This window comes from Homo sapiens, chromosome 2, assembly GCF_000001405.40.
Source record: "Homo sapiens chromosome 2, GRCh38.p14 Primary Assembly".
Lineage (NCBI taxonomy): Eukaryota > Metazoa > Chordata > Mammalia > Primates > Hominidae > Homo > Homo sapiens.
This window is the reverse complement of record NC_000002.12, coordinates 17,709,847-17,726,325: the sequence shown is the minus strand read 5'-3', so window position 1 is coordinate 17,726,325 and position 16,479 is coordinate 17,709,847. Positions and strand designations below refer to the sequence as shown.

Here is a 16,479-nt window from a genome sequence, read left to right as displayed (position 1 = left end):
AATATTATTGCTCACATAATGGAGGCTGAGTTTTTTTTTTCCTTAAAGCCATCTATTTAAAGTAATTCAATTTCCTAGATTAGGAAATTGTTAAGTAAGATGGGAGTATAATTTTTTTAAATCTTTGTTTTTACTTTTTGGCTTTTAATTCTTAATCTTTAAGGAAATACAGGGTAACAGTTGCTCCTACATACATAATAACTTGTAAATCTTTTTTTTTTTTTTTTTTTTTTTTTTTAAGACAGAGCCTTGCTCTGTCTTCCAGGATAGAGTGCAGTGGTGCAATCTCGGCTCACTGCAGCCTCCACCCCTCAGGTTTAAGTGATTTTCGTGCCTCAGCCTCCCAAGGAGCTGGGGTTACAAGCATGTGACAGCATGTCTAGCTAATTTTTGTATTTTTAGTAGAGATGGGGTTTCACCAGTTTGGCCAGGCTGGTCTCAAAATCCTGGCCTCAAGTGATCCACCTGCTTTGGCCTACCAAAGTGCTGGGATTACCGGTGTGAGCCACTGTGCTGTAAATCTTAAACTATTAAAAATTTTAAAAACTAACAAAATACTTGACTATACTGCTAAATATTCTGTGTAGCCTTTTGAGTGAGTTTTGGTATTTCTTACTCTAAAAATTTAAGATGTACTAAGACCAACGATGCCAGTCTTTTCAGCTGTTTTTGCTTAAAGAATGGAATTAGTGAAAATGAGCTTATTACCACACCCTGAAGTGTTTTCTTTCATGGGGTTTTAAGAGCTTTTGCAAATGAACATGTGGATGTGAGCATAGTAGGTTCAGTCAATTTGAATCTGAAATATGATGTATTCTTTTGTGTTTGTGTGATTGCTTACGTTTTTAATGTCTTTTTACATCATTGATCTAAAAGTTTTCAGAAACTAAATTTTTCTTTTTCTTTTTAACAGTTCTATGGAAGTTTACAAACTCCTAATTGCGTTTTTTTTTGTTATTGATAATAGTTCTTCATGAAAGCAACGCAACTTGAACAGATGAAGGAAGATTATTCATACATTATGGAAACGAAAGAAAGAACAAAGGAGCAGATACATCAAGGAGAAGAGGTTTGTAAACAGTTAATGTAAATCTTTTTGAGATCAGCCAAATTCTTATAGTACTTACAGTAAATGATATTGTAAAACTATGTGTCTGTATATTTATATAAAACTAGTAATATTTTTATAGCACTCTGAAGTATATGCAATGTAGTGTTTATATTCCGGGTATTAATTAGCTATTACTTTTTTATTTTGTAATAATGACTGTGTACATGTCTTACTTTCTCTATTAGATTATAAGATAGAGAACAGGGCAGTATCTTACATACTTATCCTCTGATAGTATGACTAATGGGTTCCACAATAAGGTATGGTAGTTTAAGTAGTTTAAAACCTATAAGTAGTTTAAAAACTGCAATATTTCTTCTGCTGGGATAATAAGCACAAGCTTCAAGCTGTTTTTAAACATAGTATGCATTTATAATTATATACCGTAATCTACAAATCATAGTAATTATAACTCTAGTAAAATGTTAACATTCCTTAAGCAACTGGTAGGTTAGTAGCAGCTATGACATCCTTACTCACCAGGCTTGGCAGCTTGCAAATTTGCTTGCGCTTTAAATCACTCATGCCAGCCATGACTTACTTCAATTTGTTTTTAAATCTGTTATATTTTGTTCTTATACTTTCTTCAGATTCCTGAAGATCCAACTTTCTGTGTGATAATCAGAGACCTCAAAATTTTAAGGCTTACATTATAGCTGTTTATCCAGCATATTAAGTCCCACCAACTTTATGTAATTCCATATCTTGTTCATTTGTTAGTTTTATATAACCAATTGAGTTTTCATCAACTTTGTAGCTTGTCCTTTTGAGGCAGGATTATACTAATGATTAAAGTCAAATTCATTATGTTATACTGACCTTTTTACTTCACATTTTTGAGGAATACATATTTTAAGTTAGGTCTATAGTTAGGTGGTTCATTAAATGAAAACTCAAAAATCAAGGATGAGTATATTTATTTTTATTTCCCACATTATCCTTTCAAACCTGGGTTATGTGGTGGTGTTTAAGGAGTTACTATAAACCACAAAAATACTAAAGCACACTTTCTTGGAATGTCAGTGTTGTTATTGGGGAAGGGAAATATTTGTATATTCAAACAAACTGTACCTACTATATATTACATTTATTATTTTTAATATAATTAATCAGGACTTGAAATAAATTTGTTTGTTTCAGACACTTGGGATTAAACACTTATTTTCTCCATGGTATACAAAGTATACCAGTAACAATTAAAGATATTGTAATTATGAAGTATAAGGAGCACTTCCCTAAATTATGTAGGAGAATTCCTGATGCATAATATGCACTCAATAAGAACTTTTCTCTTAATTGGTGAAATACCCTGTATTCTCAAAATAAACTCTGGGTTTGAATAATTAAATCTTTAAGAAATAGCATGTAAAGGCTAGAAACTAGAATAATCATTCAGTCAATATTAAGTTCTTATCATGTGCCTTGTAGCATTGTGCTTTGGCCATGGTCATATAGTGACAGATAAATAGGATTCTTGGGATCATAGACCTAATTATTCAGCAGAAAACATAGATGGTAAATAATTTGAGTATCGTGAGGACTACTAAAAGAGATGTAGACTAGACAACAGCACTTAATAGGGTACTGGCAGTGTCAGGGACAGTCATGATGGGGGAGTTATTAAGGAAGTGATGCCTAAGAAGAAAACTGAAGGATACCAGGCAAAGGATGGTGAAAGCAAGGAAGGATGTTCTAAGAGATAGCATGGTTAAAGCCTCAGGGGCAAGAAAGCATGTGTGCTTTTAAAAAACTGGAAGAATTCCAGATTGGCTAGAGTGTAAAACACAGGTGTGAGAGATGAGAGGCCAGGTTGTGGAGGACCTTATAAAATTTAGGGGGCAGTAGAAGACATGAAAATGGATGACTTCATTAATTGTGTATTTTCGGTAGATTACTCTGCTGTACAAGAGAATGAACTGCTATAAGGAGAGAAGAGATGTGGAAAGATTGATTAAGAAGGCATTATCATTGTCCAAAGAGATGATGATGGCTTAAGTTAAGGATATTGGTAGTAGTAAGAGAGAGAACTTTGAAATGATCTAGGCAGATGTTGTAGTGGACATGGAGAAGTAAAGTTAAGACAGAGGCATCAAAGGTGACTGAATGACCTCCAGATTAATTACTTTAGTAGTACAGTAAGTTTATTGAGATAGGAAGTTTGGGAAGAAAAGCCAGTTTTTCTTTTTTTTTCCTTTCTTTTCTTTTTTTTTTTTTTAAGAAAGCTGAATTATATTTTGAACACATTAATTTTGAGGTGCTTATAATAAAAGCATCCAAGTGGAAATGTGAAGTGGGAAGTTGGATATGTAAATTAAGAATACAGAAGTAAGTCTGGTCTCAATAAAAATTTGGGAGTTGTCAGTGTGCTATTAGTATATAAGCCAAAATAATAATTTAGATTGCTGAGATAGGGGAAAAGTGGGCCCAGGCCTGAACCGTGAGAAATTCTCATAGAAGCCATGAGAAGCCAAGGGCAGAGAGATTTTGAGAAGGAACCAGTCATGACTGTGAGATATACCATGTGGTCCGACACTACATGAATTGACAAAACTCACTGTATTTAATGACATAATCTTCATAGATGACTATGGCAAGGTGGGTTTCAGTAGCAGTGAAAACAGCCAGATATGTGGAACTGGAAAATGTGAGGAGATGGAGGAGATAGAGACAATTTTCATGAAACCTGGATAGAAAGGGAAGAAGAATTTTAGAGGAGGAGGTGGTGCCAAGGGATGGGTATTGGTGGTTTTGTTTGTTAAGTTGGAAAGATGAGCAAGTAGGGATGAACATGAGTCATGAAGAGGGTAAAGTGGAAACAAAGATGAAAAGATGTGATGGAAAATCAGTGGATTTAGACCTTTGAGAAGATAGAAAAGGGGTAGAATCCAAGATATAGGTAGAGGATGGTATGGGTCTTAAATATGAGGCCACCTCTCTTGTTGCAAAAGGAAGGGATGGCTGCTTTAGATTTGTAGATTGTTGAGGGAGTTTCTGTCTGATGGCTTCTAATTGTCTAAGCTGGAGAGAGGGAATGAATGAGGGAATATGGTGGCAGGGTGTATGAGGTGTATGAGGTTTGAAGAGAATGATAATAGATTGAAAGAATTTTGAAAATGGGAAAGTGCATTAGATAGGGAAACAAAGTAAGGTCTACAGTGTTCAGGCCCAAGTTGAATTTGGTAAGCATGGATGAAGGGTAGAGGCTGTCTACCCAGGTGGACAGAATATGAAGTCCATAAGCTACAGAAATTGTTTGAATATCACAGTATTTGATATTTTTAATTAATTATTAAACGTGAACTCAGTTCCTGGCTAACATGATGAAACCCCGTCTCTACCAAAAATACAAAAATTAGCTGGGTGTGGTGGTGCATGCCTGTAGTCCCAGCTACTTGGGAGGCTGAGGCAGGAGAATCGCTTGAACCTGGGAGGTGGAGGTTGCAGTGAGCCGAGATTGTGCCACTGCACTCCAGCCTGGTAACAGAGTGAGACTCTGTCTCAAAAAAAAAAAAAAAGTGAACTTAGTTAAGAAAATTATAACTTGTTTGATTTTCAGAAATAAATTTCTTCTCATCCTTACATTCTCTTTGGAATGCCTATTGACTCTGCTTTGAGGAACAGACCATCATGTCTATCAGATAGGGAATAAAGAGGGAAAATGGGAAAGTGAGTTTTGGGATTTCTCTATATTTGTGTAGTCTTGAACCTTTAATTCCTTTGCTCTTCATCTGAAGAGTATTTGGCCATTTTTATAGTGCAGAAATTCACAAAATTATTGGACTTACTAAAAGTATACCAAAGAATCAAGAATAATTTTAAAAAATAGAAGTTATTTTTAAACGAATATTTATGTAGTACTTGTTTAGGCATTGTTTTTAAAAGAAATAGATTTGCAAAAATGTGTTTTTTCAACATTAATAAAAAATACGTCCGTTCTGTTTTCTTTTTTTAAGCGGCTTACTGAACTAAAGCGCCAGTGTGTAGAGAAAGAGGAACGTTTTCAAAGTATTGCTGGTTTAAGTACAATGAAGACTAATTTAGAGTCCTTGAAACATGAAATGGCTTGGGCAGTGGTAATTATCACTTAATTACTTGTTCACGTATCTATGTGATATGCAGAATGTATTTGGTTATTATTGTTAATCTGATCAATTTGCTATATAATTTCTTTCTTAGGTCAATGAAATTGAAAAACAATTGAATGCCATCAGAGATAATATCAAAATTGGAGAAGATCGTGCTGCTAGACTTGACAGGAAAATGGAAGAACAGCAGGTAATTACAGTTTTTAAATGCAGATTTAATAGGTTGAATCATATGAAATTACAGATATTAGACTATTTATGACCCACCAAACCATCAGTTTCAGACAGTATATTTGTCTATATTTGAATTGATTGCTTAGGTGAAATAGACCTAAGCTTGTTTTCAAGGCCTGTTGTGGTGACTCTCTTTTGAAAAGAGTACTCTATCCTTGATAAACCTGTCAGAGGCTAGGGCTCTAGAACTCATGCATATTGTCAGTGGAACTTTGTTACTGACAAGACATAGAAGAAGAGCATGAAGCTTTTACTCTTTGGTTCATTAAGGAGTTGAAACACAAAAAGACCTGAGAAATAAAGGGGTGCTAGAATAATATAAATTAGAACCACATTAAAGGTAAGTATCAGAAAGTATGAGAACTCAGAACTGAAAACAATGCCCAGAGATTGCTAAGGGAACTGAGATTTATGGTCCAGAACCAAGATGGCATGTCAGAGGATTTCATATAGATGGAAGGCAAGTAGGATTCATTGTTAGGTCTGTTAAGGTTAATTTCAGCCTGACATCTAAGAGTGCAGGTAGAAACTACCCTATCTAAAATTCAAGAAAGTCATAAAAGTCTTCCACACGGGCCTAGAGGTTACAGAAGTTGAGTGTTGAGTAAAGGCAGTCATTCTCTGTTGAGGCTTTCCATGTGGACCCTTTAACATTCAGCAGATCCACTCTTTATACTCACTCTTTCTGTTTTGAACAGCTTTATTGAGATATCATTCATATACCACATAATTCACCCATTTAAAGTGTATAATTCACTGGGTTTTAGTATACTCACAAGGTTGAGCAGCCAGAACTGTGGGGCTCCTCATGCTGTAATGCCAGAAGTAGAACTCCTAGTTTTTTCCTTCTTTACTCCCCTTCCCCCGCAAATGTACTCAATGTGCCAGTGTAGCTTACTTACCTCTTAGCATTTTCTCTACTTTGCTTAGGAAATTTCTTTCTGGCCCCCAAGCTTGGCTGTGGTATAGAATGTAATCTTTCCTAGCTTGCTTTTTCCTGTCTGCCTCCAAGATAAGCAGATTGATCTTTTTTTTCTTTTAAGGGTTATGACATTAATTCATCAGAGGTAATATATGAGTATGTAAAAATAGGTAAAGATAGGACACTTAGCGATTTCTGGGCTAAGTTTCTTACTCCCTCTTCAGGCAGTAAGTGGAATTTCAACCCTTTCCACCTCTCACCTTAAATTTTCATTTCTGAAAGAATATTCTGAAATTTTCACCAAGTATTTTTCTCTTCTCACCCTCAATTCTCAGCTTATCATCAGGTAAGGCCTTAAATACTTTCCTCCTCAAGCATTTCCCAGTCTAAAATGGAATCCAGTCTGCGTAATAGATGCTCACCTCTTTTTTAAATGGGAAAGGAGGATCATAAGGCTAGGTTATGTTTACTTTTGTAGGCCTTTTTCTCCGTTTAAGCATTTGCATACTCTATGTTGTAATTGGCAAATTTCTGGAGGGTAAAGACTATCTTATTTTATCTTTATATCCTTACCACCTTGTCTTACATAAAGCCTTTCACATTGTGTGTGCTTGATTATTGCTTGTAGAATGACTGTTAAATGGAAGGTTTCTGAAGAAACAGTGTCTAAAGCAGACTTTAAACTTTTGTTAATTTAAAACTGAAAAATAATATGAATTATGTTTAGTTTATATAAAACCTGGATCCAGCTTTCATTTTTATTAAAAAAACAATTCCTCTACTCATTGTCCTTGGGTGCTTTCATGTTTTAATGGCAGAGTTGAATTGTTTTAGGAGAGACCATGTGGCCCACAAAGCCTGAAGTGTGCACTATCTAGCTCCTTGTAGAAAGGTTTGCTGACCCCGATCGAAATAGTTCTCATATTTGTTCCTTCTAATCAGTCCCTATTGCCAGCATCCCAGTTTGGTCCCTAATTGTCTTTGTTCCATAATATATTAACTTCTTACTGAAATCTTTTCCTTTGATTTTTCTGTCTACCCTGTGTTCCAAGTGCTTCCAGAGTAATCTAACATGCAGACTTAGGAGATAAGAGACAGACTTAGGTCGTCTTCCTGTTGTCAAGAAGATTAAGTTGTAAGCTGTTCATTGTAGAATGCGAGGCCCTTCTACCCCTTCATCTCGTCTCCTGCCATTATCCTTTCAATTTAAGCTCTAGCAATATTTAATTTCTAAAGTATTAATACCTTTGTACATGCTCTTTCATCTGCCTCTAACACCTTCCTCAACTTATTTCCTGGTACACTTAGATTAATTTTTAAAATCTCAGCTCAAAATACTACTTGCTCTTTGAAGGCATTCCTGACTTTTTCTGGCCAACCTCTGGTTTGTTTCTCTGTGCTACCACAATTAAAAATAAATGTACCCTACTTTAGTATTATTGTATACAGAATGTATCATCAGTTTGTGTTCTGTTTTTCTGCTAAATTATATCTCTCTCTTTTGTGTTATCTGAGGACATTTGTTATCATGTCTTTGTATCCCAAGAGGATAACACATTTGTTGGATAACTAACTGTGGGTTAAGATCAAATTATATTATAGTATTTTATATAATGTTATGTTATGTTTATTTGCCTGATGTCTTGAGTGAAGTTAAATTTATTATTGGTATATGAACTATAGATAATTATTTTTTAAAATTCTCTCTATTGAAGAAAAAATATACTTCAATAATGTTATTTTCTTAAAGGTCAGACTTAATGAGGCAGAACAAAAGTACAAGGATATTCAAGACAAACTAGAAAAGATTAGTGAAGAGACAAATGCACGAGCACCAGAATGTATGGCATTGAAAGCAGATGTTGTTGCTAAGAAAAGGGCCTATAATGAAGCTGAGGTGAGATAAATTTTCTAAACTGGAATTTTAAAAGCCACACAGCAAATATAAAGGCTGTTCTTCTATCCTTTTTTATTATATTTTATTTTTTTTGAAATAGTCTTGCTCTGTCACCCAGGCTGGAGTGCTATGGCGCCATCACGGCTCACTGTAGCCTCTTATCTCCTGGGCACACGCTATCCTCCCACCTCGGCCACCTGAGTAGCTGGGACTACAGACATCTGTCACCACAGCTGGCTAAATTTTTTTGTATTTCTTGTAGAGACAGGATTTCACCACAATATCCAGGCTGGTCTTGAACTCTTGGCCTCAAGTGATTTACCTGCCTCAGCCTCCCAAAGTGCTGGGATTACATGTGTGAACCTCTGCACCCAGCCTCTTCTATTTTTTTAATTATTATTTTTCTGAGACAGAGTCTCACCCTGTCACCCAGGCTGGAGTGCAGTGGCGCAATCTCAGCTCACTGCAACCTCTGCCTCCTGGGTTTAAGCGATTTTCCTGCCTCAGTCTCCTGAGTACCTGGGACTATAGGGGCGTGCCACCACGCCCAGCTAATTTTTCGTATTTTTAGTAGAGACGGGGTTTCACCATGTTAGCCAGGGTGGTCTAGATCTCCTGACCTCGTGATCCGCCCACCTTGGCCTCCCAAAGTGCTGGGATTACAGGCGTGAGCCACAGCACCTGGCCTTCTATTTTTTAAAGTAGAGATTTTGTACCTGAGTTGAAATTAGTGATGCTTTGAGATTTTAAAAAATGTAATGGTTTCAAATGGCCATTTTGTGCTTCATTTAAAAAATATATTCCTGTATATATTCAGCCTCTGAAGATTTGACAAAAGTGGACGTGAATGGGATATTTGTGTTTTCATTTTTGTAAAGTGTGTCTAATTTTTTTGGTTAGGTTTTATATAACCGATCCTTAAACGAATATAAAGCATTAAAGAAAGATGATGAGCAGCTTTGTAAACGAATTGAAGAGCTGAAAAAAAGGTAGGGTAGTTACTTTGAAATTTTCATGGCTATCCCATTTTGTAATAAAGTAAGGTAGATGCATTGGAGTATTATATTTTATGTATTGTTGTTAATGGAATTTTATTACATCGGTTTGTGTTCTTTAAATGTTAGGCTGTTCATTGAACTAACATTTTTCACTTTGGGTTATTTACTGTTAGTACTGACCAATCTTTGGAACCTGAACGGTTGGAAAGACAAAAAAAAATATCTTGGTTAAAAGAGAGAGTAAAGGCCTTTCAAAATCAAGAAAATTCAGTCAATCAAGAGATCGAACAGTTTCAGCAAGCCATAGAAAAGGACAAAGAAGAACATGGCAAAATTAAGTAAGTTGCAACATCCTTAGAATGATTTTTTTCAATTACTTTTACATCATATAGTTTTGTTCTTGTATGAAGAGAGCAAATATGGTTGTTTCTTCTACATAATAAGGGATCTTTTTAAAAAGATTTTATTTTTATGTTAAATACTTTGCAGAGCAGGGCTAACTCATTGGCAGTGCACCTACAGCCAGCTGGATCTTTTAAAATCACTTTTCAAGACTTTTCTTATAGTTGTAGAGTTGAACAATTTCTGGGATTCCTAGCCCATCATTGTTGCATTACTTTTTTTATGCCAAGTTTTGAGGACTCCAGACTGTTTTTCTCTGGTAACACAATTATTTTCAAATAAATAATTCTGCTTTTGGTTTTTAGGGTAGCTAGCTGGGTCGTTCACTGGGATGTAGGTGTTATGGGCAAAGGTTAAATGTTTCTGTAAAACTATCACATATATGTTCTGTTTTTCTGCTTTTGTTTTTTAGGAGAGAAGAATTAGATGTGAAGCATGCACTGAGCTACAATCAGAGGCAACTGAAAGAATTGAAAGATAGTAAAACTGATCGACTCAAAAGATTTGGCCCTAATGTTCCAGCTCTTCTTGAAGCCATAGATGATGCTTATAGACAAGGACATTTTACCTATAAACCTGTAGGCCCTTTAGGTATTTGTCTTAATTTAGCGAGGTTATAATAAACTTTAGAAATAAGTTTTTATTTTCAGAACGATTGAATGAAGTTTTCGAAATAAAATGATTTCATTTAAAATAATGAAATTATATAAAGCTTTGTAGCTTTCGTTTTATATTTTTAAAGCATAAAATATCCGAAAGAAAGAGAACTTTGGAAAAGGAAAAGTAATCATAGAGTTGAATGATTTGATTCTTGTTTTTCTGAATAAATGAATGAATAAGTAAATGAACTAATGTAATATAATTGATTATTCAGAAAAAACCAGTAACATCAAGATATAGTTGAAGGAGCAGTTAACTGAATTTTGGTAATCTTTTTAAAATGACTTTTCTTTCTTAGTTTCTATTTTGGTTGGGCAGCATGATTTCTAAGTTCTCTTCCAACTGTAAAATCTGTGGTTACTTCACTCTTACATATACATGGTACTTAAAAAATTTTTTTTAGTCACGTGTTCTTGGGGGGTTATCTTTAATTCTGAAAATCATTAGGTGAAAATGCTTATAAATATATTTTGTTAGTAAAGTATTGCATTTAAGTATTGTAGTAATATCTCTTTTAAATGATACATACCTTTATACCAGGATCCATTTCAAAGGATGAGGCTTTTTTTTTTCGCATCCCATTAAGGACTTTGAAAATCGTTTGATTTTCAGAACCCCATTGGAAGGCTAGAATAGTATAAACTGAACATAGAAAAGCCACCGTTGATTTACATTAGAGTGGGACAATTTTTTTCACAGGATTTGGTGGATTTTCTCTCCATTGTATCCTATGGGTATAGGGGATTTCCCATTCAGTTAAAATATTATTTAAACTGCTTTATATAAAAGTATGTTAAATCATTTATAAACTATGATTAAATGATCTGTAAAGTCATTTAAACTGCTTTATATAAAAATATAAGTCATTTATATGCTATAATTAAAGAGGAGGATGTTAATATTTCAAAATAAGTATTTATGAGCCCTTCTGTAATTTTCTCTCACTTTTAGGAGCTTGCATTCATCTTCGGGACCCAGAACTTGCTTTGGCTATTGAATCTTGCTTAAAAGGGCTTCTGCAGGCCTATTGTTGCCATAATCATGCTGATGAAAGGGTCCTTCAGGCACTCATGAAAAGGTTTTATTTACCAGGGACCTCACGGCCACCGATAATAGTTTCTGAGTTTCGGAATGAGATATATGATGTAAGACACAGGTAAGGCATTAGTAATTGAATATGTTTCTGGCTTTGCTTAATCATATGCAAGATTGGAAAGAGTTAAAACACTTTTAATGTTAATCATATCTTTACCACTGATTTGTAAAATTTCATCAAGCCACTTTAATTTCTGTCTAGGTATTAGTTCTGGGCATTAGAGAAACATAGATAAATACTCCCTACCATTGAAGTTCTTATATGTGGGAGACATTACAGGGAAACAGATGTAGTATGGCTTAGAAATTACACCAGTGAGGAAAATGATATGACCAATTTAAGAGGGAGGGGCCTGAGGAAGAACATTGGCACCCATTACACACAGTTAAATTCTGAAGGTGTTTCACAGAATCCGTGAAGAGCAGTAATTGTGTTCTTTGATGACCTTAACAAGTCTTTTCAAGGGAGCTCAGTACCCAAACTGGCTTCTTTGCTAACTACTGGCTAATACTTTAAAAATGAATGTAGGCCAGGCACAGGGGCTCATGCCTGTAATCCCAGCACTTTGGTAGGCCAAGGCGGGCAGATTGCTTGAGCTCAGGAGTTCAAGACGAGCCTGGGCAACTTGGGGAGACCTGTCTACCAAAAATACAAAAAAATAGCCAGGCTTGGTCGTGTGTGCCTGTGGTCCCAGCTACTTGGAAGGCTGAGGTGGGAGAATCGCTTGAGCCTAGGAGGTGGAGGTTGTAGTGATACAGCGAGCCAAGGTCATGCCACTGCACTCCAGCTTGGGTGAAGAATGAGACTGTGTCTCAAAAAAAAAAAAAACAAAAAAAACAAAAAATGAATGTATATATCTATTCCCAGATGACATTTTAAAATTTCTTTTCTCTCCCATCTCCACTTTTTAAAATAAACCTTCTTTTTAATTAAGTCTAGTGCTATGTCTCTCATATTTGGTAAATTAGTGTGTGTAATTAACTCATGTTAATAGGTAGATCAAGGAAGAATTCAGAGAGGAGTTGAGAAATCATCAGTCTTTTAACTGATGAGTTTGTCAAGTGATAGAAAAAGTTAATTGCCTTGTAGGCAAATAGAATTCTGTGTGCAAAATGCGTGGAAGCATGACATTGGGAGTTATTCTGCAAAAAATAGCATTTGCATTTTTGATAGGAAGAAACAGATAGCACAGAGATTTGGGCAAAATCAATAAAATTTGTTAATTGAATGCAAGAGAAGGAAAAATCAGGATGACTCCTAGGTTTCTGGTTAGAGTGACTAGCTGAAGGATGCCATCAGTTGTGAGGAATGTCCTTCTTGAATCTGAACTGTCATTTTAGGACCAAAGAGAATAGTCCTGGCCATTCTGGTGGGGCCTGCTCTGTGAACTGACACAAAGACTCTGAAGAAGAGTGCCTGGCACTGCCTTGCTGGCACATTGTGTGTCCCAGCCTGTGCTTCTAATCACTTAGCCACGAAACACATGTGACAAAGGATCCAGTGTATGTGTCATAATGCCAGTTTTCTTGGAAGTAGGTGAGTTTATGTGCTGAGAACAAGGGCCTCAGGAGTTGCTAGGAGGTACCTTCTTTAAGGGTTTAGATTGGCTACCAAGGAGAATGAGAGAGGAAGCTGACTCGAAGTCTGCTTAAGATACAAAAGCCTAGTGGCTGCAGGATTTTTCACTAATAATGTTTCTTTAGAGATGTGAGTGGAGGGAGAGTCTGTACTGTTAGATAAACATTAGAGTTTTTTAGAGTGGGTAGGTACTGCAGAAAGGGAAAAGGGAAGCAGTTGAGTGTTTTGTTGACAAACTAGTTTAAAGAAAGAGAGGCCTACGAGAAAGTGTTTAGACCCACCTCAGTGAAGTTAGAGAATATGCTTAAATGCATGATAAGTCTGGAAGGATAGGAGGTTGTGGTAAGAGTGAGAAATTCAAGTTGAATGGAACAGGTCTAGGGGATGACAAAGTCCATGTTTTGGCTTCAGGAGCAGGTAGCTGAAACACAAGTTGTTGGAGTTGTGGAAGAAACTAGATTCTAATCCTTTTGGGTGTTGACAGGATATTGACAAGAGTCTTGAGTATGTCTAACATTCTGTTAACTTTACCTGCCTTGTAAACATTTTGAAGGGGTGATTTTTTTCTGTGTTTGAAGAAATTTTTCGGTATGAATTATGGTTCAAATGCTAAATTTAAAAACTGGCTATATTATTTTAATGTGGAAAATAATAGTAAAATATTATTAGGGTATTATAATGCATCAGATACATAGGACTCATTTCAGTCATTTAGGCTTACGCTAGATAACCTTAACAGAGGTACCTAGGAAGATGCCTAGCTCGTAAGGAGTATTCAGAAAATGTGCTTTCCTTTCCTGTAAAGATGGTCTTGTTTCTTCTTTTCAGAAGGACATAGAAGCTACTAAACTACTACTCCTGCTATTATGCCTGCATTTGTACATCTTGCCCCCATCTCAAGAGAGATTCTTTCTGTCTGAGGCTAGTCTACTTGTGCCTTGAATCACATACTTTCTTGCCTGACTCTATTAACCATTTAAAAAAATTATTTCAGCCCTCTCCTGAGCCTTAAACTTTCCTGTTAAATTTTCTCTCTGTTTTAAACATGATAGGTCTCTGATTTGCGTTTCTTTTAAAAATACACCTCTCCTAGGGGAGACTGCATTCACTCATAGACTTACCACTCTTGGTTCCTAAATGTTAATTGCATTCTCCAGTTATTTCCTTGTTGCCGAATCCGGTTGATATTTACCTTCTCTCAAGCATTAGATACTATTAAATACACCTTCCTTCAAACTTCATATTCCTTTTGTTACTATGACACCATTTTCTTGGTTCTCATACTCTTTAGGTGTTTCTCAGCCTATTTTATGGGCTTTTCTTCATCTCCTTCTGGTGCTCCGCACAGCTCTCTTCATAGTCTGTTATAACTTCTCACTTTATATCTTCTTATATTTGGAGAAATTAAAAATACACCAAATTTAGACCAGTCACGGTGGCTCACACCTGTAATCCCAGCACTTTGGGAGGCCGAATCGCGTGGATCATTTGATCCCAGGCATTTAAGACCAGCCTGGGTAATGTGGTGAAACGCCGTTTCTACCTAAGATACAAAAATAAACTGAGCATGGTGCTATGTGCCTGTGGTCCCAGCTACTCAGGAGCCTGAGGTGGGAGGATCACTGGAGCCCTGGAAGTCAAGGCTGCAGTGGGCTGTGATCGTGCCACTGCACTCCAGGTGACAGAGGGAGGTCCTGTCTCAAAAAAATAAAATAAAAATACACCAAATTTTAATCATGTTTTTTTCCTATATTTTAACTTAGTGGTGTTTTTCCTTTTACTTGACTTTAGAAATCACATCTTTTTATCAAATGATTTAAGTATAATTAGGATGAAAAAAAATCATTTTGTCCTGTAACTCCGCTTACCAGTGAGGCCTATTATACTTGACTAGATTTTCTGTGCACTTTTTCCTTTGTCAGTATGTTTTGTTTAGACTTTCTGCTTAACATTGTTTGTGAACCTGTGTCCTATTATCTTCTCCTTGTCCCCTGTCACCAACATCTCATTACTTATATTCCTTTCTACTTTTGGCTCTGCTAGACTAATATTGTATCCTCCCTCAACATACTATTAATTGTAATATAAGCCAGTATGAGGTAAATCCCAGGGACGAATAGCAAAAGGAAGAGGTAGTTGTGACTTGGCGCTTTAGAGGAAACTGGTAGTAACAGCTTCATGTAATGATGGCCTTTGGCTGCCCGAAAATGGTGACTCCTTCCTAGTGTCAAAACCTGTGCTCTCAACAGGCTAGCGAGAGTCTACATTTCACCAGAACTGCCTACCACGTCCTCCCCTCTTAGACTCCTACTCCCTTTCTTTATCTCCTTGTTCCGTACTTTGTTTCATTGACTGCCTGACGTTTCTAGAGCACCCATACCCTATTCTTTCTTATCCTTGTTTTTTTTCCACCTGAACTCTGTCCTAAAAAGCCATTTACCTGCTACTGTCACTTTTCTCTGCTTCCCTTTTCAGGAAAAACTCAAAGGAGTTGTCTGTTTCTCTAATTTCTTTCTACCTTCTTTCTTGAACCTTCTCCAGTTAGACTTTATAATTTCACCACATACCAAAACAGCTCTTATCAAGGCATCAGCAAGCCTCACTTCGCTTAACTCAATTGACTCAAAGTCATTACTCTTCACTAATTTTACTTACTGGCAGTATTTGCCCTTGATCCTTTCATTCTTCCTGAAACACTTTTTCACTTGGCCCAAGGACCTCACTCTTCTCATTTTCCTAATTCTCTAGGTGTTCGTTTTTGGTATCTTTTGCTTCTTCCTCCTCACAGCTGACTGTACCAGTGCTCCAGAACTCTTCTTGGTATGCACTTCTCCCTAGGTGAACTCATCTGATTGCATGGCTTTACAGATCATACATTGATGACTGAAACTGTGTTTGTAGGTTGCCTTTTTCTTCTGAACTCTATAATATAATATACTTAATATATATTTTTCACTTAGATGCCCAATAAGCATTTCAAACTTACCATGTCTGAAAGCCATACTCCCGATTTCCACCCCAAAACCTGCACTTTCAGTAATCTTCTCCATCTTCATTTCTCTATTGCAGAGTCATTCTTGACTCCTTTCTGCTACCCCACATCCTACTGGCTGTACTTCAGAAATATATCCAAGATCTGACCACTTGTGTGGTGACTCTACTGGCTCACGCCATCATCATGTTTCCCTTGAGAATTGCACAGGCTGATCTCCCTGCTTCTGGTTACTTGGCACCACAGTCTCAGTACAGCAGCCAACGTAAAGTCAGGTCATGTTGTGCCTCTGCTCAAAGGACTCTAAACTTTGCTGTTTTCCTTATCACAGGGCTGACTGTGACCTCTAGGCCTGGATGATCTGTCCTCTCACCATCTTTCTTATCCTGTCTCTGGAAACACTTCCCTCCCTGATCTGCCTACTGTGGCAATCTGTCTCCTTGCTTCTCTGACACACCTTTTAGGGTCTTTGCGATTGCTCTTCCCTCTGTCTGAAATGGTCTT

The 16,479-nt window shown here is 36.5% G+C and overlaps 1 protein-coding gene across 16 annotated transcripts in view; it reads left to right on the top strand.

Annotated features, from left to right (window-relative positions):
* SMC6 (structural maintenance of chromosomes 6) overlaps positions 1-16,479 on the top strand; it is an 89,999-nt gene that overhangs the window by 27,485 nt on the left and 46,035 nt on the right. For 15 of the 16 annotated variants that reach the window (XM_017004916.3, XM_011533108.4, NM_024624.6 and 12 more), the window contains 8 exons: positions 968-1,069; positions 5,065-5,184; positions 5,288-5,386; positions 8,103-8,249; positions 9,150-9,238; positions 9,421-9,585; positions 10,062-10,240; positions 11,261-11,465. In XM_017004916.3, the coding sequence (XP_016860405.1) occupies positions 968-1,069; positions 5,065-5,184; positions 5,288-5,386; positions 8,103-8,249; positions 9,150-9,238; positions 9,421-9,585; positions 10,062-10,240; positions 11,261-11,465 (1,106 nt within the window). Of the gene's footprint in view, positions 1-967; positions 1,070-5,064; positions 5,185-5,287; positions 5,387-8,102; positions 8,250-9,149; positions 9,239-9,420; positions 9,586-10,061; positions 10,241-11,260; positions 11,466-12,745; positions 12,900-16,479 lie in introns of those variants that run through there. The other variant, XM_047445840.1, reaches the window with a different exon arrangement.